Here is a 24100-nt window from a genome sequence, read left to right on the forward strand (position 1 = left end):
TAAAGTGTGAAGTGGAGGAAGCACAGAGCTAAGCTATAGCTGCAAAATTCAGTACCTTTAAAAAGATACTTGCATCAGAATTATAACTGGGAGAGAATGGGTTGCTTAGCACTGGTTATTCCAGAAAGAGAACCAAATTACAAACCATGCCTGTAATCCCAGCACTTTCGGAGGCTGAGGCAGATGTATCACAACGTCAGGAGTTCGACACCAGCCTGGCCAATATGGCGAAACCCCATCTCTACTAAAAATACAAAAAAAATTAGCTGGGCATGGTGGCACATGCCTGTAATCCCAGCTACTCAGGAGGCCGAGGCAGGAGAATTGAACCCAGGAGGTGGAGGTTGCAGTGAGCCGAGATGGGGCCACTGCACTACAGCCTGGGCGACAGAGAGAGACCCTATCTCAAAAAAAAAAAAAAAGAAAAAGCCAAAAAATAACCCTTTGTAGTTGCAAACCACAAGCTAGTTATTTTTTTTGTTTGTTTGTTTTTTTTGTTGTTGTTGTTGTTTGTTTTTTGTTAATGGCACAATGAAGTCAGGGACTCAGGTTCTTTTTTTTTTTTTTTTTTGAGACAGAGTTTCACTCGTCGCCAGGCTAGAGTGCAGAGGCGCGATCTCAGCTCACCGCAACCTCCACCACCTGGGTTCAAGTGATTCTCCTGCCTCAGCCTCCCGAGTAGCTCGGATTACAGGTGTGCGCCACTACACCCAGCTAATTTTTTAATATTTTTGGTAGAGACGGGGTTTCACCATGTTGGCCAGGCTGGTCTTGAACTCCTGACTTCAAGTGATCTGCCCACCTTGGCCTCCCAAAGTGCTGGGATTACAGGTGTGAGCCACCGCGCCCAGCCCACATGCTAGTTTTTAACCCACTTCCTGCTGGAAGGAGAGAAGAGGTCTGTGACTTCTGCTCAGCTCCACCATGGAGACCAAATCAAGCAGGCTTTGGAACTGCTGCTTCAGGTGAATGGTAACCAGAAACCCAGGGAATTTATAGAAAGGGCAAGGTCAAAGAGCTGAGAAAAAGACTTAAGTCATGGTCAACACCTGCCAATGCAATGGTGTAGGCATGAAAGGGCTTGAAGGCTGAGAAATGCCACTAAACTAAGTGACAATCCCCAGCATCTCCCTTGAAAAGGTATTAATGGGCTTCAAAATAGAAAAACTGTTAGTTTGCTGTGAGGCTTCTTGTTTATTTATTTATTTATTTATCTATCTATTTATTTATTTATTTATTTTTGAGACAGAGTCTCGCTGTGTTGCCCCAGATGGAGTGCAGTGACGTGATCTTGGCTCATTGTAACCTCTGCCTCTGCAGGCGATTCTCCTGCCTCAGCCTCCCGAATAGCTGGGATTATAGGCGTGTGCCACCACACCCAGCTAATTTTTGTATTTTTAGTAGAGATGGGGTTTTGCCATGTTAGCCAGACTGGTCTCAAACTCCTGACCTCAAGTGATCCACCCCTCTCAGCCTCCCAAAGTGCTGAGATTACCGGCGTGAGCCACCGCGCCTGGCTGAAGCTTCTTTACAACTATAAGTAATTAAGTATGGCAGGATGGATGGATAATTTTTGGGATTCAAATGTCAGATTCATAATCATATTGTTCAGCAAGGAAAGGAAAGCAGGTCCACTGATGTGTTCGTGCAAGAATAGCTATTAACAGGGGTCCATGGAACAAGGTCTAGAGGATCTTGGCACTTAAATCAAGATAAGGTTTTTTTATATTAAAAATATTTAATAAAGACATTATCACAACCTCTACAGTCCCAATGAATTCTCAGAATTGGTGAATTTTACAGGGCTAAAGAAGAGAAAAAGAAACCAGAATATCCCTTAGAAAAAGTGAACACGTGGCAGAATTAAGGTCTGGAGTAGCAAAACAAATGGTATAGGTGGGCCTCTGCCACTTATCCAGATCTCTGGCCAGTGAGTTTCAGTGCATGGGGGCCAGTTGATCTCCAACCCCAATCGGAGTTCTGGTGAGCCAGCTGGGCTCAGATGAGAGACTTCACAGCCTGATTTGCTTTCAGCGTGAGAGAGTATGTCATAAGCAGTATCACTGTGAATATTTGGCCACTTATTTTTTGGCATTTTTCACACCCCAATTTATTGACCACATTTGAAGCTTGGGGAGATGAGAGATGGCCCCATATTTTCTTTTGCTTTGGCAAAGAAGACCATCTAATGGGAGCCTGCAGTCTTGAGGATTTTTGCCTAGTGAACATATCCCTTCTTGCCTGTGACTGTGCAATTTCTAGAGAATTTCCCCATTCTTCAACCTTAAGGATTTCAGGCACAAGGTATGAATCACTAAGAATCTAGCAGCAGCTCTAGAAGCCTCCAAAGATAATTGCACTTCCCCAACAGGGGGACGGGGGTGGAGTGTAAATATGAAAGAACAGTGGATGGCCTAAATCAGTATGTGTCACTCTTTGTAAAGAGCCACAAGTGTTTGACTAGGGAAAAAGGAAAAGAGGCGAGAGTAACGAGAAAGAGACACCAAGATCGAGAGGAATGGGGGAAAGGAGATCTCTATGAGGTGTTACTGTGAGTCATGGATAGGTTTTTATTAATAGACTCTGAAGTATATAAATAGAATTGGAATTCCTTTTATTTTATTTTTTTTGATATGGAGTCTCTGCTGCCCAGGCTGCAGTGCAGTGGCACAATCTCGGCTCACTGCAACCTCTGCCTCCCGGGTCAAGTGATTCTCCTACCTCAGGATTACAGGCGTGGGCCACCAAGCCCGTCTATTTTTTTTATTTTTAGTAGAGCCGGGGTTTCACCATGTTGGCCAGGCCGGCCTTGAACTCCTGACCTCAGGTGATTCACCTGCCTCGGCCTCCCAAAGTGCTGGGATTACAGGCGTGAGCCACTGTGCCCAGCCTGGAAATCTTTTTAAATACTTCTTGTTGGTGACCACTGTTTATTTGACTGTGACATCATGCAGATACATGGGACCATGGAGCTCAGGCCTCCCTTTGGGTCACACTAGGCTCCTGAAAGGTGACAGTGTAACAGTAGTGCAGTAAATGGGCAAGTGGGTTCATTGTTCTTGGAGAATGAGAGACTGGATTGAAATAAAGAATACGAGTGGGCTGGGTGTGATGGCTCACGCCTGTAATCCCAACACTTTGGGAGGCCAAAGCAGGAGGATCACTTGAGGTCAGGAGTTCAACACCAGCCTGGCCAACATGCTGAAACCCCATCTCTACTAAAAATACAAAAATTAGCCAGACCTGGTGGTGCATGCCTGTAGTCCCAGCTACTCAGGAGGCTGAGGCAGGAGAATCACTTGAACCCAGGAGGTGGAGGTTGCAGTGAGCCGAGATTGCACCACTGCACTCCAGCCTGAGCAACAGAATGAGACTCCGTCTCAAAAAAAAAAAAAAAAAAAGAATAGAAGTGGTTGTGTGGTTTAAAAAAGCAAAGTCCAGGAGTATGGAAGTAGACATGGCTTTATGCATAGGCCGGAGAGAATGTCACCAAGGTACTCTTTAAAGGCATAGCTCCATGTTGGATAACAAAGCATTTGATTCATTCACTCATACATTCATTTATTCAGCAAACCTACTTACTTGACAGGTATTGTATTAGGTGCTGAAGATTAATTCTAAACAAGGCACACACCCTGACTGTATGAATCTTAAAGACTAGGACTGAGCACAGCAACTACGGCTTATGGGCCAAATCTAGCCTGTGTTTGTAAGTAGTTTTATTGAAACACAGCCATACACATTCATCTACATATTGTCTTTTTCTTTTTCTTTCTTCTTCTTCTTTTTTTCTTTTTTTTTTTTTTTGAGACAAGGTCTCACTCTTTCCCAGGCTGGAGTTCAGTAACACTCAAGCCATCCTCCCACCTCTGCCTCCCACGTAGCTGAACTATAGGGGCACGCCACCACACCCTGCTAATTTTTTTATTTATTATAGAGATGGGGTCTTGCTATGTTGCCCAGATTGGTCTCAAATTCCTATCCTCAAGTGATCCTCCCACCTCAGCCTCCCAAAGTGCTGGGATTACAGGTGCGAGCCACTGCACCCCACCTTAACCTTTATTTCTAAATGTTAAATACAAAGATAAATGATGAGGCCAGGCATGGTGGCTTATGCCTGTAATCTCAGCAGTTTGGGAGGCTGAGGAAGGTGATGACTTGAGGCCAGGAGTTCAAGACCAGCCTGGCCAACATGGTGAAACCCCATCTCTACTAAAAATATAAAAATTAGCCAGGTGGTGGCAGGTGCCTGTAATCTCAGCTACTCGGGAGGCTGAGGCACAAAAATCGCTTGAGCCCGGGAGGCAGAGATTGTAGTGAGCCGAGATCACTCCACTGCACTCCAGCATGGGCAACAGAGTGAGACCCTGTCTCAAAAAATAAATAAATAAATAAATATCTTACTTTTCTGAAATCCAAACTTATTCATTACAAGTAGGCACAAGCATCTGCCTGCTTATTATGTCTTCTAGTTTAGCTGGACCTTAGCCTTTATGTATTAAAATACAATTGATTTCATTATAAATTATTATTCTTTATTTCTCTATCTTTACTTTATTTATTTTTTTGAGACTGAGTCATGCTCTGTTGCCCAGGCTGGAGTGCAATGGCGCAATCTTGGCTCACTGCAACCTCCACCTCTTGGGTTCAAGCGATTCTCCTGCCTCACCCTCCTGAGTAGCTGGAATTACTGGTGAGTGCCACCACGCCCGGCTAATTTTTGAATTTTTAGTAGAGACGGGGTTTCACCATGTTGACCAGGCTGGTCTCGAACTCCTGACCTCAGGTGATCCGCCCACCTCGGCCTCCCAAAGTGCTGGGATTACAGGTGTAAGTCACCATGCCCGGCCTTATTTCTCTTTTATATCACAGGTAAATAAGAATTTTAAGAAATCGTGTGATTATAAAGGCTATATCACTTGTGAATTGCATTTCAGCAAATTAGAAATACTTTTTTAAAAAGCTAATGGTGGGTTTTATAGGATTAGAACCCTTGTCTTGGAACATTAAATGAACTTTTTTTTTCTTAATTTATTTTTGAGATGGAGTCTCACTCTGTCACCCAGACTGGAGTACAGTGGCGCAATCTCGGCTCACTGCAACCTCCACCTCCTGGGTTCAAGCGATTCTCCTGCCTCAGCCTCCCAAATAGCTGGGATTATAGGTGTCCACTACCATGCCTGGCTGATTTTTGTATTTTTAGTAGAGACAGGGTTTCAGCATGTTGACCAGGCTGGTGTTGAACTCCTGACCTCAGGTTATCCGCCTACCTCGGCCTCCCAAAGTGCTGGGATTACAGGTGTGAGCCACTGTGCCCAGCCACATGAACTTTTAAATATAGCTGTAGACCTATAGTCTGTACATACAAACCCCTATGTGTCCATATATACTGCACAAACAAAGCAAATCTCTTTTTATAATAGAGTTTGTTATTATAAACCGTCACATATAACATATGTCATAACTACCTCCCATGGACATAACAACTTCCTGTGGAAAGAGTGAACCTCACTTGTCTTTAAATATCCTTCCTGGCCAGGCTCATTTTCTTGGAACAGGACCAAACTAAAACAGTTTTGGCATATATTATTACCTCTCTAGCGTGAAAAGAGCCATGGTTCTTGTCCTTAAGAGTTCACTGTCTATATAAATCTGAATTTGGATATGCAGTATACATGATACTGTACTGCAAGTTTCAGTAGCTGCAAGTACGCTCACATCCTCGTCTAACTTTCATCCTCTCTTCCCTTGGAGTAATATCCAACAAGACTGCAGGACTGTTGTAGAAGATGTGTATCTCACCATTTTAATCACTGCAGAGGCCACAGTGGGGAGGGCAGCTTTGCAGATTTCAAGAATCTGAGGCCTTTCTTCCCTTGCTTTTTCTCTGCCTACTCCCCCTCTTCATCTTTGTTTTCCTCCGTGTTCCTCTCTTCTCCCTCCCACTCTCTTGCATTTGCTGAGCCTCCACAGTTTGAGTCACAGGCTGCATCCCGTCTTGAAGGCGTGATCATTAGTCAGGGATGCAGGATCAGCCTTCCCTGGGCTTTCTGTGGGCATCTGGGAGGCTGCAGGGAGACCAGGGCTGCTGGCACAGCCGATGCACCTCCAGAATTTTTGCTGAGACCAAGGGCAATGACAGCCCTAGAGACAGAAGGGATACAGGAGAATCAGTACTGGACATTGACGGAGGCTGTGCAGGGGAGGTGGAGAAGGTGGAGAGGGAGTGTTGCCGTCTGGGGACTCAACAGGGGCACAGATGGAGTGGCAGATAGGGCTCAATGTGCCTGCCTGGTCTCTGAGGAGAAACCTCTGACTGAATGGGACCCAGAGTGCAGCTATTAAGCTGGTCATCTCCCTGGGGTGTCACTAGGGATAGGCATGACACAGAGTGAGTCCCCCCACCTGCAGCTGCACCTGGGACCAGGCTTTAACCTCCCTTCTCTCTCCTCTACCTTGGTTCTCATCCCTCCTCCCACTCCCTCTAGGCAAACAGTATTCTGATGCTTCCTAGCATTTGCTATGAGGTAATGCTCTGGAATCCCTAGTTATTCAAATTATATAAACCAGGGGACTCAGAGAAAGAGAGGGTGCTCTCAGAATCCAGTCCTGCAGCCAAGGAGGAAGTCCTTCCTTCCTTCATTTTACCAGGCTGTTTCAAACCAAGGCACTGGGTTTTTTTGAAACTTATGGTAAGTCTCCTTTCTTATCTTTTCAACTTAGAGTCCGTGTGAGAACCGGGACACCTGTCCTGTTGAAAAGGGGGACGCAAAAGCTGAAAATGCCCGGAAGGATATGGCTTCCTTGAACTGCGGGACGTGTAGCTGCAGCTGTGGGGTGGACCATGGAAACAGGTTTGAAGAGAGAAGCTCTGTTCTTCTTCATCTCCCGTCATTGTTCTGAGCCAGTGTTCTGCCTCCTCCCTAGGGATGAAGTTTGGTAGCAAGGGTCAGAAAAATTAAAGTTCAAGGTTGGCACAGATTCCCAGGGAATGAAGGTGGAAACCACTGTCTACCCTTCTCCAAACTCAAAAACGTGAAATAATGGATTCTTTTTGTGTGTGAGATGGAGTCTTGCTCTGACGTCACCCAGGCTGGAGTGCAGTGGCACGATTTTGGCTCACTATAACCTCCTCCTCCCAGGTTCAAACCATCCTGCCACCTCAGCCTCCTGTGTAGCTGGAACTACAGGCGCCCACCACCATGCCCAGCTAATTTTTGTCGTTTTAGTAGAGATGGTGTTTCACCATGTTGGCCAGGCTGGTCTCAAACTCCTGACCTCAAGTGATCTGCCCGCCTCGGCCTCCCAAAGTGTTGGGATTGCAGGCGTGAGCCACTGGGCCCAGCCAAGAGGGACTCAGTTTTCACCTTGGCATCTCTAGAAAGGGAAAACTTGGGGAAAACCCACACCTCTACCCTTGAGTGAAGATGCCAAGTAATTATATTATAGTTGATCTTGAGTGTCCTTTTTTTTTCTGTGCCTCTCTCTCATCCCTTCCTGTTGTTCTTCTCTTCTTCCAATTTATTTCTGTCTGGGGGATTATGTGCTCTATCCAGAAACGCCCCACCCAGGCCTCTGGGGCAGGAGTTCATGCTGTAAGATTACTTTCCTTTCTCCTTCTTCTGCACTTCATCACAACTCTGGTTCCCTGGAGGGTGCAGTTTATCTTAGCTAGTAGTTAGGAGAAAAGCATCTAGTTAAGCTAATTCAAATTAAAACCATGAAAATGCTCTTCTTAAAGAGCTTGGCTATTTCCCCTTACTCCTGAAAACAGCCACACAGGATACCCAAGTGGGCTGACATGACGGAATCATCTTTAAACCAAGATGCTCCTCTCTCCCTTGCCTGTAGTCTATGAGCTCTGTAGGCTGCTTTAAAGAAGGCAGGGCTTGCTTTCTTCCTCTCATGCCTCTGAGAAATTTTCCAGAAATTTAAGATGAAAGATGGAAAATGTCCTCAATATTGGTTCTCTAAAATGCACTTGCCTTTTTTTTTTTTTTTTTTTTAGACAGAGTCTCACTCTGTCGCCCAGGCTGGAGTGCCATGGTACGATCTCGGCTCACTGCAACCTCTGCCTCCTGGGTTCAAGTGATTCTCCTGCCTCAGCCTCCTGAGTAGCTGGGATTACAGGTGCGTGCCACCACACCCAGCTAATGTATTTGTATTTTTAGTAGAGACAGGGTTTCATCATGTTGGCTAGGCTGGTCTCGAACTCCTGACCTCAGGTGATCCACCCACCTCGACCTCCCAAAGTGCTGGGATTACAGGTGTGAGGCACCGTGCCCAATCCGTACTTGACATTTTTAACTCCTAGGGTCCTTGGGCAGATATCCACATCCTGTCTTGGGAGGCAGTCCTGGTCCTTAGCTCTCCACCCCAACCCCCTCATATCCCTGGAAATTGAGAGCTGCCAGGAGCAAAGCAGATTGTTGCTGACCTCAGAAGAACACAAGTTGGCCATTTGTGAGGAGGAGGGATTCAATAACCTCCTGGAACAGAAATAATGAAGATGAGGCCAGTCTTTCACGTGTGGCATGTTTTCTTGGTGTGCTTTGCTCCTTTGGAAGAGACTTAGGGGACAGGAGCATGAGAATGGGGCCCCCAAATATACCTGTTCCTTCTGAGGCAGATGAGAGGCAGCCCAAATGAAAGCCCTCTTCCTGACTGGTGCTGAGACAGCTGTCTCTACATCATTTCTCAAAAAGCAGCAAAGGACTACATGGAGGTGAAATTCTTCCCCATCTCAATTTGCCTGCTTAGCCAAATGTGGAATGTTGTAGAATGCATATCTTGAATATTAGTCAGGATTTTGTCAGCTTCCAAGGCAAGAAGGAAGGGATTCGTTGACTCCAGTACCGGGAAGTTTAAAACATGACTCTTCCGATGTGACTGGGTTTAGGGATTTAAATAATATCATTAAAGCCCGGTGTGGTGGCTCACGCCTGTAATCCCAGCACTTTGGGAGGCCAAGGTGGGCAGATCATTTGAGGTCAGGAGTTTGAGAGCGGCCTGGCCAACATGGTGAAACCCCGTCTCTACTGAAAATACAAAAATTAGCTGGGTGTGGTGGCAAGCACCTGTAATCTCAGCTATTGGGGAGGCTGAGGAAGGAGAATCGCCTGAACCCAGGAGGTGGAGGTTGCAGTGAGTTGAGATCATGCCACTGCATTCCAGCCTGAGTGACAGAGTAAGACTCTGTTTCAAAAAATAAATATTAATAAATAAATAAAGTCATTAGTTCCATCTCTCTCCCTCGGTTGACTTGTTTGTCTTAACATTGGCTTTTTTCTCAGGTAGGAACTCTCTGCTGAGTGGCAGATGGCCTTGGGCAGCGATGAGTATTACATTGTTTTCCCTGCGTGTCTTTCCCGTCAGCTCCATCAGAAGTACCAGGGAGGACTCTGACAGGCCTGGCCTGGGTAAGGTGTCCTTGCCTGAACCAATCATTGCAGCCAGGAGGATGAAGTCCTCTAATTGGCTAGCTCACATTATGACCCCAACATGTGTGGGGAAGACCAGGCAAGGAATTAGCCACCTTGTTAGGTAGAGGAGGAGAAATTCTCAAAAGGAAAATATACTAGGCAGATAAAAAGTAATATAACTATACACTTTTATAAGTGTCAACTTACTCATTACTAATGCAAATTAACCAGCAATAGGGTGGGAGATATGAGCAATACCAAGATTTATAAGACATGTTTTTTGTCCTTAAAGATCATATAATCTATTTGTTCCAGAAGCTAGTCACATTCTCTAATAATTTGAGGAAACATGAATGAATTCATTGGAAAATATTTGCTAAGTGCTTACTTAATGCCAGACATAGCTCTAGATTCCTGTTATACAAAGATAAAAGACAGCTTTCTTCCCATAAAAACCTTACAATCAAGTGAGAGAGACAAGCAAACTAACAAACATTTAAAGTGCAGGACTTGGCTGGGCGCAGTGGCTCACACCTGTAATCCCGGCACCTTGGGAGGCTGAGGCAGGAGGATCACTTGAGCCCAGGAGTTTAAGACCAACCTGGGAAACATAGGGAGTCCCTGTTTCTGCAAAATTTAAAAATTAGGGCCGGGCGCGGTGGCTCACGCCTGTAATCCCAGCACTTTGGGAGGCCGAGGCGGGTGGATCATGAGGTCAGGAGATCGAGACCATCCTGGCTAACAAGGTGAAACCCCGTCTCTACTAAAAATACAAAAAAATTAGCCGGGCGCGGTGGCGGGCGCCTGTAGTCCCAGCTACTCGGGAGGCTGAGGCAGGAGAATGGCGTGAACCCAGGAAGCGGAGCTTGCAGTGAGCCGAGATTGCGCCACTGCAGTCCGCAGTCTGGCCTGGGCGACAGAGCGAGACTCCGTCTCAAAAAAAAAAAAAAAAAAAAAATTAGCCTGGCATGGTGGTGTGCACCTGTAGTCCCAGCTACTCAGGAGGCTGAGGCAGAAAGATCCCTTGAGCCCAGGAGGTTGAGGCTGCAGTGAGCTGTGACTGCGCCACTGCACTCAGCCTGGGCGGCAGAGCAAGACCCTGTCTCAAAAATCAATTAATCAATCAATCAATCAATACAAATAAAGTTTAAGGCCACAGTTGCAATGACAGAAGTATGCACAGTTATCATGAGAGCCCCCAAAAGGCACCAACTCAACCTTGGGCTCAGAGGAAGCGATTTGTAAGCCAGAGCTTGAAAAACAAGTGGGAGTCAGATGAGATTGGATGGTGGGGAAGGATCTTGCAGGCAGAGGGGCTAGTTTGTGCAGAGGTACAGGGTGTGGAGTAGGGTGGTGTATTTGGAGAACCGTAAATACTGACATGCATCACTTAACAACAGGGTTATGTTGTGAGAAATGCATTGTTAGGCAATTTTACCCTTGTGCGAACATCATAGAGTACTTACACACATCTAAATGGCATAGCCTGCTATGTACCTTGACTATATGGTAGAGCCTATTGCTCCTAGGCTATGCGCCCGTACAGCATGTTCCTGCACTGAATACTGCAGGCAACTGGAATGCAACCGTAAGAGTTTGTGTATCTAAACCTCTAAACATAGGAAAGGCATAGTAAAAATGCAGTATTTTGGGCCGGGTGCGGTGGCTCCCGCCTGTAATCCCAGCACTTTGGGAGGCCGAGGCGGGTGGATCACGAGGCCAAGAGATCGAGACCATCCTGGCTAACACGGTGAAACCCCGTCTCTACTAAAAAATACAAAAAATTAGCCGGGCGTAGTGGCGGGCTCCTGTAGTCCCAGCTACTTGGGAGGCTGAGGTAGGAGAATGGCATGAACCTGGGAGGTGGAGCTTGCAGTGAGCCGAGATCGCACCACAGCACTCCAGCCTGGGCCACAGAGTGAGACTCCATCTCAAAAAAAAAAAAAAAAAAAAAAATGCAGTATTTTAATCTTATGAGACCACTGTTGTATATGAGGTCTGTTGTTTACCAAAAAGTCATTCTGCAGCACATGTCTGTAGTTTGAATGGAGTACATGAGTGGGTACAGGGAGAGATGAACCCAAAGCGGTAGGCAGGAGACAGATCACAAAGGGCCCTGGGTCAAGCATAGATTTCAGCTTGCCCCTGATTTCGAACAGGGGCATGGACGTGTCCAGATTTGCAATAGAGCATGCTCATTCTGGCAGCATGTGAGTGGAGTGAGCCAGACTGGAGGCAGGAAGGAGAGTCAGGGGACTGCCGTGGGAAGGCACTCGAGACGTGGTGGGGACTCCTTCTGTGCAGGCAATGTCAGCTGATAAAATAGATAATTAGAAAAGTCACCGTTCTGCAACCCCAATTCAGGCAAGGATCCAGATTATCAGCAGATGCTAAGATATTCACGTGGTTTTAAAGAGTCACTCCACAGATTTTTTAAAATAATTTTTTATTTTTTTTGGCCAAGTACAGTGGCTTTACCCCTGTAATCCTAGCACTTTGGGAGGCTGAGGTGGGTGGATCATTTGAGGTCAGGAGTTCAAGACCAGCCTGACCAACACGGCAAAACTGGGTCTCTACTAAAAATACAAAAAAATTGGCCAGGTGTGGTGGCGCAAGCCTGTATCTCAGCTACTTAGAAGACTGAGGCAGGAAAATCACTTGAACCTGGGAGGTGGAGGTTGCAGTGAGCCAAGATTGCGCCACTGCACTCCAGCCTGGGCAACAGAATAAGACTCTGTCTCAAAAAGAAAAAAGTTTATTTTTAATTTTTCTGGGTACATAGTAGGTGTATATATTTATGGGGTATGGGAGATGTTTTGACACAGGCATGCAATGCATAATAATCGCATCATGGAAAATGGGTATCTATCCCCTCAAGCATTTATCCTTTCATTTCATGGATTATTATTATTATTTGAGATGGAGTTTTGCTTTTGTTGCCTAGGCTGGAGTGTAATGGCGAGATCTCGGCTCACTGCAACCTCCACCTCCCGGGTTCAAGTGATTCTCCTGTCTCAGCCTCCTGAGTAGCTGGGATTACAGGCATGTGCCACCACGCCCAAGGATTAATGACAAAATACAAAATTTTGTATTTTTAGTACAGATGGGGTTTCACCATGTTGGTCAGGCTGGTCTCGAACTCCTAACCTCAGGTGATCCACTCGCCTCGGCCTCCCAAAGTGCTGGGATTACAGGCATGAGCCACCGCGCCTGGCCATTCCATGGATTATTAACTACACGGTGGAAACTGTACCTTTGCAGTGGAAAGATCTGGTGGCCATCATCTTAAGCAAGAGATCAGGCTCCACATAGTGGGACAACCTGACGTTGTGGACCTTCCAAGGGATGTGATAAGCGATGGGTAACATCTCCTGTACAGTATTCTTTCCAAAGAGCTTCAACCTGAATCTAATAATGAGGAAACAACTAGACAAATCCAGAATGTGGGAGGTTACGTAGGAAAACAGGCTGGAACTGTTCAAAAACTCAGTGTCATAAAAAACAAAAATAAAAACAAAATGGGAGGAGAATGTTCTAAATCAAAAGAAGGAGAACCAACCACCACATAAAATATTTAACCCCTAATGAGATCCTGACACTTAAAGCTGCCTGAAAGATGGCTGGGCACAGTGGCTGACGCCTGTAATCCCAGCACTGTCTCAAAACAAAAAACAAAAAACAATAAAAACCACATGAAGGACACTAGGGAATAGTTGGGGACAGTTGAGTTTGAACTCAATATGGGGTACTGGTTTTCTTAGGTTTGATAATGATATCATGGTTATGTAGGAGAATGACTTTATGCTTAGGTGATGCTGCAGCATTGAGGGGTGAAGTGTAATGATGTCGCCAACCTACGTCCAAATGACTCAGGAAAATATGCGTGTTCTTATGTACCTACATGACATAGGGATGCTTTTACATATATATGATATATGGAAACTATCATATATATGACAGCTAGGGGTGTTCTTACCAATGTGGCAAAATTTTAACAATGTTTCTGTTTGCATGAAGGATCATGGGAATTCTTATATGATTCTTTCAGGGTTTTTGTGTTTTTTTGGTAGTTTAAACACCATGAAAAAGAATGACAATAAGAAGCGGAAGTAGGAGAAGGAGAGGAATTAATGGCAGTTTGACCCAAGACAGTGGCAGTGGTTTGGGGGAGTGTCCTAGGCTGCCGTAACAAAGTACCCCACCCTGGGTACTTATAAACGACAGAAATGTACTTCTCACCGTCCTGGATGTTGGAAGTCTGAGATCAGAGCACCAGCATGGTTAGGTTCTGGTGAGGACTGTCCTCAGGGTTGCAGACTGCTGACTTCTGGTTGTATCCTCACATGGCAGAAAGAGGGCTAGAGAGCTCTCTGGGATCCCTCTCTCTCTCTTTTTTCTTTTTTTCTTTTTTTTTTTTTTTTTTGAGAGAGGGTCTCACTCTCTCGTCCAGGCTGGATGGAGTGCAGTGGAGTGATCCTGGTTTGCTGTAACCTTAACTTCCTGGGCTCAAGCAATCCTCCCACCTCCCGAGTAGCTGGGAATACAGGTGTGCTCCACCTTGCCTGGGTAATTTTAGTATTTTCTGTAGAGATGGAGTCTCACTATGTTGCCCAGGCTGGTCTCTAACTCCTGGACTCAAGCAGTCTGCCCACCTTGGCCTCCCAAAGTGCTGGGATTACAGGCGTCAGCCCCCACACCCGGCCTGCTTTCTCTCTCTTTTCTTTTTTGTTTTTAAGGCTAGTCAAGTGAAGCAGTGGGAGTGGAGAAGGAACAAAGAAGTCTGAAACTAGTTGTTATCAATTAGGTGTAAACACCACTGCTCTTGGCCCAGCCTGGAGTCTCTTTTATAAGGTACTAATCCCATTTATGAGGGCTCCAGTCTCATAACCTAATTACCTCCCAAAGGCCCCACCTCCTAATAGTGTCACATTGGGGGTTAGAATTTTATATATGAGGCCGGGCGTGGTGGCTCATGCCTGTAATCCCAGCACTTTGGGAGGCTGAGGCAGGTGGATCACTTGCAAGACCAGCCTGGCCAACATAGTGTAATCCTGTCTCTACTAAAAATATAAAAATTAGCCGGGCATGGTGTTGGGTGCCTGTGGTCCCAGCTACTTAGGTGGCTGAGGCATGAGAATCACTTGAACCCAGGTGGCAGAGGTGGCTGTGAGCTGAGATCACGCCACTGCACTCCAGCCTGGGCGACAGAGACTCTATCTAAAAAAGAAAAAAAAAAAAAAAAAGGCTGGACGTGGTGGCTCACACTTGTAATCCTAGCACTTTGGGTGGCCGAGGCAGGCGGGTCACTTGAGGTCAGGAGTTCAAGACCAGCTTGGCCAACATGATGAAACCCCGTCTCTACTAAAAATACAAAAATTAGCCAAGCATGGTAGTGCGCTGCTGTAGTCCCAGCCACTCGGGAGGCTGAGGCATGAGAATCGCTTGAACCCAGGAGGTAGAGGTTGCAGTGAGCCAGTGAGCCGAGATCACGCCATTGCACTCCAGCATGGGGGACAAGAGTGAAACTCTGTCTCAAAAAAAAAAAAAAATTTTATATATGAATTTTAGAGAGACACAAACATTAGGTTCGGTTCATTGTAGGGAAGAAGTTGGAATTAAGAGAAATACAGGAATATTGGGAATCTGTCCTGATGTGGAATAATATATGGGGATTCAGCTAGCGTGAAGTTAGGGAAACAAGCCCAGTCAGAGGGGTTCCAGTCCCAGACATAGATTATATGACATACTTTCCTAATGCAAACCGTGACAAAAATCACCATAAATCAACCATAAATCACCAAAAATCACCATAAATACTTACCTTACCACACCAAGCAGAGAGCTGTGAACAGTGCTGAATCCGGAATCAGGATGCTGGAGTTCTGATCCCGGCTCTACCACTGAGCAGCTGTGAGTGAGGTGAGCTCTTCTGGGGCTCTTCCTCTGAAAAATGAGAAGATTGGAGCACACGTTCCCCGAGGCCCTGTTCTATCTTTCACAAGTACACAGTTGTAGTCACCCTTCCTTATTGACGTTACTGAGTCATCTGAGCTAAGTGTTAATGAGATGTTGCCGCGTCTGCCATTTCATTCTCGCTGTCTTGATTTATTTCTCCAACCATCTTGGCCACCCTCTCATGAGAGCCTGTCCTTGACTAAACAAGGTCTTCACTAAACGCTGCGCTTTACGGGGGAGCTGTAATAATTGCCACTTCCTCATGGTGTCTGCCCTAGATTTAGTGACGAGGTTTCTTCCTGGACTCTTGGATGTTGCTTTCTATTAATAACACATCTGACTTTCTCTTTGTTATGAAGCTAACACATACTTATGGTAGAAAATCTATAACATTTGGGAAACTCTGTAAAATAAAACTTTTTTTTTTTTTGAGATGGAATCTCGCTCTGTTGCCCAGGCTGAAGTGCAGTGCTGCAGTCTCAGCTCACTGCAACCTCCGCCTCCCGGGTCCCAGTGATTCTCCTGTCTCAGCCTTCCAAGTAGCTGGGACTACAGGCGCATGCCAACACATCTGGCTAATTTTTTTTGTGTGTGTTGTATTTTCAGTAGAGATGGGGTTTCGCCATGTTGGCCAGGCTGATCTCGAACTCCTGATCTCAGGTGATGTGCCCACCTCGGCCTCCCAAAGTGCTGGGATTACAGGCGTGAGCTATAGTGCCTGGCCTTGTAAAAGAAAATTTAAGTTACTCACAATTCCAATTTGCCAATAGCCACTATTAAATTTTTTTCTGAATGGTGTGTGTGTGTGTGTTGCATAGTTCATCTCTTATCATATACATAATTTTGTATTCTTTTTTTTCATTTAATAATATATGTTGCACACTCTCTTGGGAGGGAATGGAACAGACTCCCATTCTATAATTTCTTTTTCAGAATTTTACAAGCTTGGAATATCATTATGGCATTTTAACAGCCCTCCATGTATATTACATTATATACCCAAGAAATGTAATGCTAAAATGTGTTTCTTTATCATATCTTTTTCCATATAATTAAAATATTCAGTATTTTCATATAAGAAAATTTCCAGGCCAGGCCAGGCATGGTGGCTCACGCCTGTAATCCCAGCACTTCAGGAGGCTAGATGGGCAGATCACTTGAGGACAGGAGTTCAAGACCAGCCTAGCCAACATGGCAAAAACCCATATCTACTAAAAGTACAAAAACTGGCCAGGCGTGGTTGCGAGTGCCTGTAATTCCAGCTACTCAGGTGGCTGAGCCATGAGAATCACTTGAACCCAGGAGGCAGAGGTTGGAGTGAGCCAAGATCGCACCACTGCACTCCAGCTTGGGCAACAGAGCAAGACTCTGTAAAAAGAAAGAGGGGGAGATAAAGAAAGAGAAAGAGAGAGAGAGAAAGAGAGAAAGAGAGAGAGAGAGAGAAAGAAAGAAAGATAAGAAGGAAGGAAGGAAGGAAAGAAAGAAAGAAAAAGAAAGGAAGAAAGAAAGAGAGAAAAGACATTTTCCAGGCCAGGCATGGTGTCTCAGGCCTGTAATCCCAGCACTTTGGGAGGCCAAGGTGGGAGGATCACTTGAGCCCAGGAGTTTGAGACCAGCCTGGGCAACATGTCAAGACCCCGTCTCTACAATGTTAAAAATTAGCTGGGTGTGGTGGTGGTACCTGTGGTCGCAGCTAGTCAGGAGGCTGAGATGAGATGAGAGTAACACTTGTGCCCAGGAGGTTGAGGATCACAGTGAGCTGTGATCGTGTCACTGCACTCTAGCCTGGGTGACAAAGCGAGACTGCAATTAGAAAAAAAAAAAAAACAAGAGAATTTTCCAAATAACTGGGCAACTCTTTTCCCACCTTCTCTTGTTTTGATGTAAGGCTGGCCTGTTACATCATCAATACTATTGGGGAAATACCAGGACACAGAAAAAATGAGGGGAAGAAATATAGTACAATGTCTTAGTTTATGATACTACATTGTTAATGGTGGATCCATAGAAATACATCTGGGTGATAGTGGCATTTGTAGGGTGTGTATGCAGTGAGTGGGTGGTAGGGGAGAGGCAAGTGGGGAGAGTAAAAAAAATGAATTAAATCGGATGGGTGTTGAGTGAGGCATGGTAACTACTTTGGGAATTTTTTCTCTTCCTTTGTTACTAATGCCAAATAGCAAAGGCTAATGTTAATGTAATGGGTATATGTGTGTCTAAGTGGAGGGACAGACAGACAGACATCATGGGGGGAATGCATCCTAGAGTCATTTTAAAATCAAAACCAGCACTAATGAAGAGCATTTTCTAATGTCATTATATTAATTCAAAAACATCCTAACACTTGACAGATGGATATTCTTAAATGTCTCCAAGGAAGAACCTAAACCATTTGCTCATTCTAGAGTCTCATATTTTGATCCGAAAATTTCAAACCACTTAATTCATCCTCATGGCTCTCCCGGGAAGTAAGGAGAAAGAAGAAATTACTCTCCACCACCTCTTTTATATGATATATGTCTATATACACTTACATTTTTATTACACACTTAACTTTACAGGAAAGGAAATCCCATAAACTAGGTGCATCTCTCTGAAATCACTTTTAACCCTCATTAGCTTGGAGACATTCAATTGAAACCATTGCCTACATACTCTCTGTCTCTCTGCATTCTTTCCAAATATACACATTTCAGTGACCATCGCACTTATTATTATTATTTTTTTTTTTTTTTTTGAGACAGAGTCTTGCTCTGTAACCCAGGCTGGAGTGCAGGGGCGCAATCTCGGCTCACTGCAAGCTCCGCCTCCCGGGTTCACGCCATTCTCCTGCCTCAGCTTCCTGAGTAGCTGGGACTACAGGCACCTGCCACCACGCCTGGCTAATTTTTTTTTTTTTTTGTATTTTTTGTATTTTTAGTAGAGACGGGGTTTCACCGTGTTAGCCAGGATGGTCTCGATCTCCTGACCCCATGATCTGCCCACCTCAGCCTCCCAAACTGCTGGGATTACAGGCGTGAGCCACCGCGCCCGGCCACAGTTATTGTTTTTAATGACTGCATAGCATCTCGTTGTATCAGTACTTCATTGTTTACACAATTATTTTATTGTGAGAGCTTTTGGGGTTGTCTTTGAATTATTTGAAACATCATAAGTAATATTATGAATGCATCATTGTGCAAAATATTCTTTTTCCTTTTGGATTCTTTGAGTCCCATCGATGCTGGCTTTTATTGTTATACACTTTGCTCATGTATAATAATAAGAGGTAGATAACAGAACTGCTAAGCTGTTTGTTTGTCTAATTTCTATCAATGGTTTAGGTTATGGCTTCTATTTTCCTGTGTATAAAATTGTCTATTCTTATTTTTTTACACTCTGGCTGTTTGCCAAGTAGAAGCTAAGGATTAACCATATACATTTTTATTAAATCTAGATTTTTTAGGAATCTCAGCTTTTTTTCTCTCTTTTTTTTTTTTTTTTTTTTTGAGATGGAGTCTTGCTCTGTGGCCCAGGCTGGAGTGCAGTGGCGTGATCTCAGCTCACTGCAACCTCCACCTCCCGGATTCAAGCAATTCTCTGCCTCAGCCTCTGGAGTAGCTGGGATTACATGTGCCCGCCACCATGCCCGGCTAATTTTTTTTGTATTTTTTTGTAGAGATGGGGTTTCACCATCTTGGCCAGGCTGGCCTTGAACTCCTGACCTCGTGATCCACCCGCCTCGGCCTCCCAAAGTGCTGGGATTACAGCCACAAGCCACCGCGCCTGACCGGAATCTAAGCTTTTATGAGTTATACTTGTCATGAATCATTTTCATATTCTGTGCCCTTTTTTTATATTTTTTGAGATGGAGTCTCACTCTGTCGCCAGGCTGGAGTGCAGTGGCGTGATCTCGACTCACTGCAACCTCCGCCTCCCAGGTTCAAGTGATTCTCCTGCCTCAGCCTCCCAAGTAGCTGGGATTACAGGCACATGCCACCATGCCCAGCTAATTTTTGTATTTTCAGTAGAGACTGAGTTTCACCATGTTGGCCAGGATGGTCTCGATCTCCTGAACTTGTGATCCGCCCGCCTTGGCCTCCTAAAGTGCTGGGATTACAGGCGTGAGCCACCACACCTAGCCTGTGCCCTTCTCTTTAAACTTTGTTCCATTGCATTATTTTTTATGATGTAGTTTTAGATGTTATAAAGGGAGTGTAACGGGACTCACTCATGGACTCTTTTCCAAGAATTTCTGCAGCCCTTGGAAACTCCCACATCACCAATGCAAAAAACCTAGTACCTGAATCCTGTGGTCTCAGCATAAGAAAATAGCCTTGGCTCATGGTTGAAATGGGGACTGGGATATCCTAGGAAATGACCTCCTCTGTGGGGAGTATGGCGAGAGCTGGGTTGTCAGTCTCCAGGGACACTGCTATCAGTATCCTCCTTTTCCACTTTATTCTTTGTTCCAAAATAATCATTGTAATATCTCAGAATTAAATCTCTGGCTGTCCTTTCAACCATGTGGTTAGGGACCAGAACTGATTATTCCCAGAGCTGCCCATAGGTCACAGGGAAGACAAGGACCGCGTGTTTCCTTGACTTAAACATGCTTGCTCTGGGCCACTGTGATCACACAGTTGTCTTTCTTCCATTATCCTGGGCCTGAACGCATCACACGCTTCCCTGGCTTGAGGCAAGAGGTGCAAGATAACTGAAGGTTATCTTCATGGTCATCTCGAGTATGACCATTTGGGGCGGGAGTTGCTTGTGCACGTGCATGTCTGTGCATGTGTGCATACTGCTTATCTCTCTGCGTATCTGTTGGGCTGCACTTGCTATGCTTGCGCTACAGCCCCTCTTCTACAGTCCTGGCTGGAAGATGGAGGTGAGATGGCTGGATGATAGTGGCAGGGAAGGGTGTTCACATGGCTGCTGAGCCACATTTACAGGCTCAGGCCATTCTGCTCAGCTGTGCACAGTTGGAATACAGGGGGTTATTGTTACTGGAAGTGAGCTCCCTGTTCTAAATTCCACCAAAGTGTAAGTAACATGACCCAGGATGAGAATTCATCATGATTCGGCCAGGCACGGTGGCTCACACCTGTAATCCTAGCACTTTGGGAGGCTAAGGCGGGTGGATCACTGAGGTCGGGAGCTGGAGACCAGCCTGACCAACATGGAGAAACCCTGTCTCTATTAAAAATAGAAAATTAGCCGGGCGTGGTGGCACATGCCTGTAGTCCCAGCTACTCGGGAGGGTGAAGTGGGAGAATTGCTTGAACCCGGGAGGGGAAGGTTGTGGTGAGCCAAGATCGCACCATTGCACTCCAGCCTGAGCAACAAGATCAAAACTCCATCTCAAAAAAAAAAAAAAAAAAAAAAAAAAAAAAGAGAATTCATCATGATGCTAGAGAGGCTGGGAGTTCCTATGGGCTTGAGGGAGGGGAGTGGTGGAGCGGGGAGGAGAAAAGTACAGAAATTATCATACAATTGTTTGCTGATGTTTTTCAAAGGTGCACTCTAAAGCTTTTATATAAAAGGATATATGTTTCTTAAAAAAATAAAAAATAAAATGGGCTGGATGCAGTGGCCCATGCCTGTGACCCCAGCACTTTGGGAGGCCAAGGCCGGAGGATCACTTGAGGCCAGGAGTTCGAGACCAGCCTGGCCAACATGGTGAAACCCCATCTCTACTAAAAATACAAAAATTAGTGTGTGGTGGTGCATGCCTATAATCCCAGCTACTTGGGAGGCTGAGGCAGGAGAATTGCTTGAACCTGGAAGGCGAAGTTTGCAGTGAGCCAAGATTATGCCACTGAACTCCAGCCTGGGCAACAGAGTGAGACTCTGTCTCAAAAAAGAAAAGAAAGAAAAGAAAAAATGCCACTAGGATCTCTGAAACTCCTATTAAACAGAAGACCGCAAAAGCCAGTATTGAGGAGATGGTGAGAGAAGGCTGTTCATGTGTAGGCAGAGTGAGAAAATTCTAAAACAAGACAAAGAAGGAAAAGAGTGGGGCAAACATGGTGTAAAGAAAGGGCTGAAGAGAGAGGGTAAAGTGAAGGAGAGGATCTGTTGTTACCAGCAGGGCTAATCCCAGGCAATGCTGTGTGCCCGACAATCTTCTAGCCCAGCCCCCTACCGATAAGTCTCTAAGTACAATGCCACCAATATATAATGTGCTAAATATTTTAAATCAACTTTCTTTTCAGAACAAGTATCTAATTCATCTTAAATAATACCATGTGGGAAATAATAAGTTTGATATCTAGTTATATGTTTTCTAATACATGTTAGGATAAACACTCAATTAGTAACAGTATCTGTCCATCTATCCATCTATGAAGCGCCAAAAACGATCCCGGTTGCTGTGCAGTGGTGTGCACGCAATTCCATGGAAAGTCCATTCCCTCCTCACCCCAAAACCCATCCCTTAGCCGTCATCATCTCTTACTGGAATTATCCAAACAGCCATCTCGTAGATGTCTCAGCCTTCAGTATTGGTCCCACTCCAATCCTGACTATGACTACAAACTAAAGCCAGGGTGATAAATTCTAAAGTGAAAATTATATTATAATTAAAGTTGATTGATGAAATGCATATATTTAGCACTGTTCTCTTCTAATACTGTTGAAACCATAATAAAGAATTTTCTTGGCTGGGCGCGGTGGCTCACGCCTGTAATCCCAGCACTTTGGGAGGCTGAGGCAGGCAGATCACAAGGTCAGGAGATCGAGACCATCCTGGCTAACACGGTGAAACCCCGTCTCTACTAAAATACAAAAAAATTAGCCAGGTGTGGTGGCGGGCGCCTGTAGTCCCAGCTACTCGGGAGGCTGAGGCAGGAGAATGGCATGAACCTGGGAGGCGGAGCTTGCAGTGAGCTGAGATTGTGCCACTGCACTGCAGCCTGGGCAACAGAGTGAGACTCCATCTCAAAAAAAAAAAAAAAAAAATAGAATTTTCTTAAGGTGTGAAGTCACAAGAACAAAGAGAACAGGGGAAGCTACCAGAACCCACTTGGAAGAAGCTAGCAATCAGATGGCGAAATGGTCCTAGAGAACATGGGCCCTCAGAAGTAAGAAGCACACCAAGATGGGAAGAAGACGTGGGACTCAGGAAACAAGAATCCAACCCATGAGAGAGCATGATGGGCAAGGGAGATGCCAAGATCACAGCTGCTGGTCCAGACTGGAGCAGGTGAACAGGTTCAGGAGAGTTTCCTCCACAACAGGAAACTGATACAATCCCTGAGGTGTCTGAAGACATTGAGAGACCTGGAAGCGGTGGTTCACGCCTGTAATCCCAACACTTTGGGAGGCCAAAGTGGGAGGAGTTCAAGACCAACCTGGGCAATATAGTGAGACCCCATCTCTACAAAACATTTTATTTTACTTTATTTTATTTTATTTTTTTGAGACAGAGTCTCTCTTTGTTACCCAGGCTGGAGTGCACTGGTGCGATCTCTGCTCACTGCAACCTCTGCCTCCTGGTTTCAAGTGATTCTCCTGCCTCAGCCTCCTGAGTAGCTGGGACTACGGGCTCGTGCCACTATGCCCAGATAATTTTTTTGTATTTTTAGTAGAGATGGGTTTCACCATGTTGGCCAGGCTGGTCTCAAATTCCTGACCTCAAGTGATTACCCTGCCTTGGCCTCCCAAAGTGCTGGAATTACACTGGTTTTCACTTTCAGTGCAATATTTGATAAATTACATGAGATATTCAACTCTTTATTATAAAATAGGTTTTGTGTTAAGTGGTTTTGCCTAACTGTAGGCTACTGTAAGGCCACCATGCCCGGCCTCTACAAAACATTTTTAAAAATTAGCCAGGCATGGGGGTGCATGCCTGTGGTCCCAGCTACTCAGGAGGCTAAGGTAGGAGGACCACTTGAGCCCAGGAGGTCGAGGCTCCAGTAAGCTGTGATCACACCACTGCACTCCAGCCTGGGCGACAGGCTGAGACCCTGTCTCAAAACAAACCAAACATACATTAAGAGGAGCTTTACACAACTACAGGGGACTCAAATTTGTGATAGCACACAGAAAAGTGGACAACCAATAAAACAGCAGTCATTAACTCCAGACAGAATGCTCTGTAGGAAACGTGATTCCAATGCATGACATGGCTCCACTGTGAATAGGCCCCGGGGGTTGTGGGACTGACTATAATTCTGGAGACCAGCATGGGAAGAGAAGGGGATGGCAAGTGACAACAGGGCAGAGGCAGTAAGGGGCCAGTGCTCATTCTCCGTGGTAGGAGTGGATGGATAATGACGAAACTGGAAAACCATGTTTGAGATACCTGAAACTGAAAAGCTGAAGTATTTGAAAGTGGCTGGCTGTGGGGAGGAAGTAAGGGTATGAAACAATTTGCCTTTTTTTTTTTTTTTTTTTTTTTTAATGAGATGGAGTCTTACTCTGTCACCCAGGCTGGAGTGCAGTGGTGCGATCTCAGCTCACTGCAACCTCTGCCTCCTGGGTTCAAGTGATTCTCCTGCGTCAACCCGCAGCCCACCCACACACCCCCCACCCACCTCCAACACCCACCCCCGGCCCCCGCCCTCCAGTAGATGGGACTACAGGCATGCACCACCATGCCGGCTAATTTTTGTATTTTTAGTAGAGACAGGATTTCACCATGTTGGCCAGTCTGGTCTCAAACTCACGGACTCAAGTGATCTGCCTGCCTTAGCCTCCCAGAGTGCTGGGATTATAGGCAGGAGCCACTGGCCACA

General features: G+C 45.4%; 1 long non-coding RNA gene across 1 annotated transcript in view; it reads left to right on the forward strand.

The window, feature by feature from the left end:
• DNAJC27-AS1 (DNAJC27 antisense RNA 1) overlaps positions 1-24100 on the forward strand; it is a 67583-nt gene that overhangs the window by 22580 nt on the left and 20903 nt on the right. Inside the window, exon 2 of the long non-coding RNA NR_034113.1 lies at positions 6724-6854. This is a non-coding gene — a long non-coding RNA (DNAJC27 antisense RNA 1). The remainder of the gene's footprint in view (positions 1-6723; positions 6855-24100) is intronic.

This window comes from Homo sapiens, chromosome 2 (genome assembly GCF_000001405.40).
Source record: "Homo sapiens chromosome 2, GRCh38.p14 Primary Assembly".
Lineage (NCBI taxonomy): Eukaryota > Metazoa > Chordata > Mammalia > Primates > Hominidae > Homo > Homo sapiens.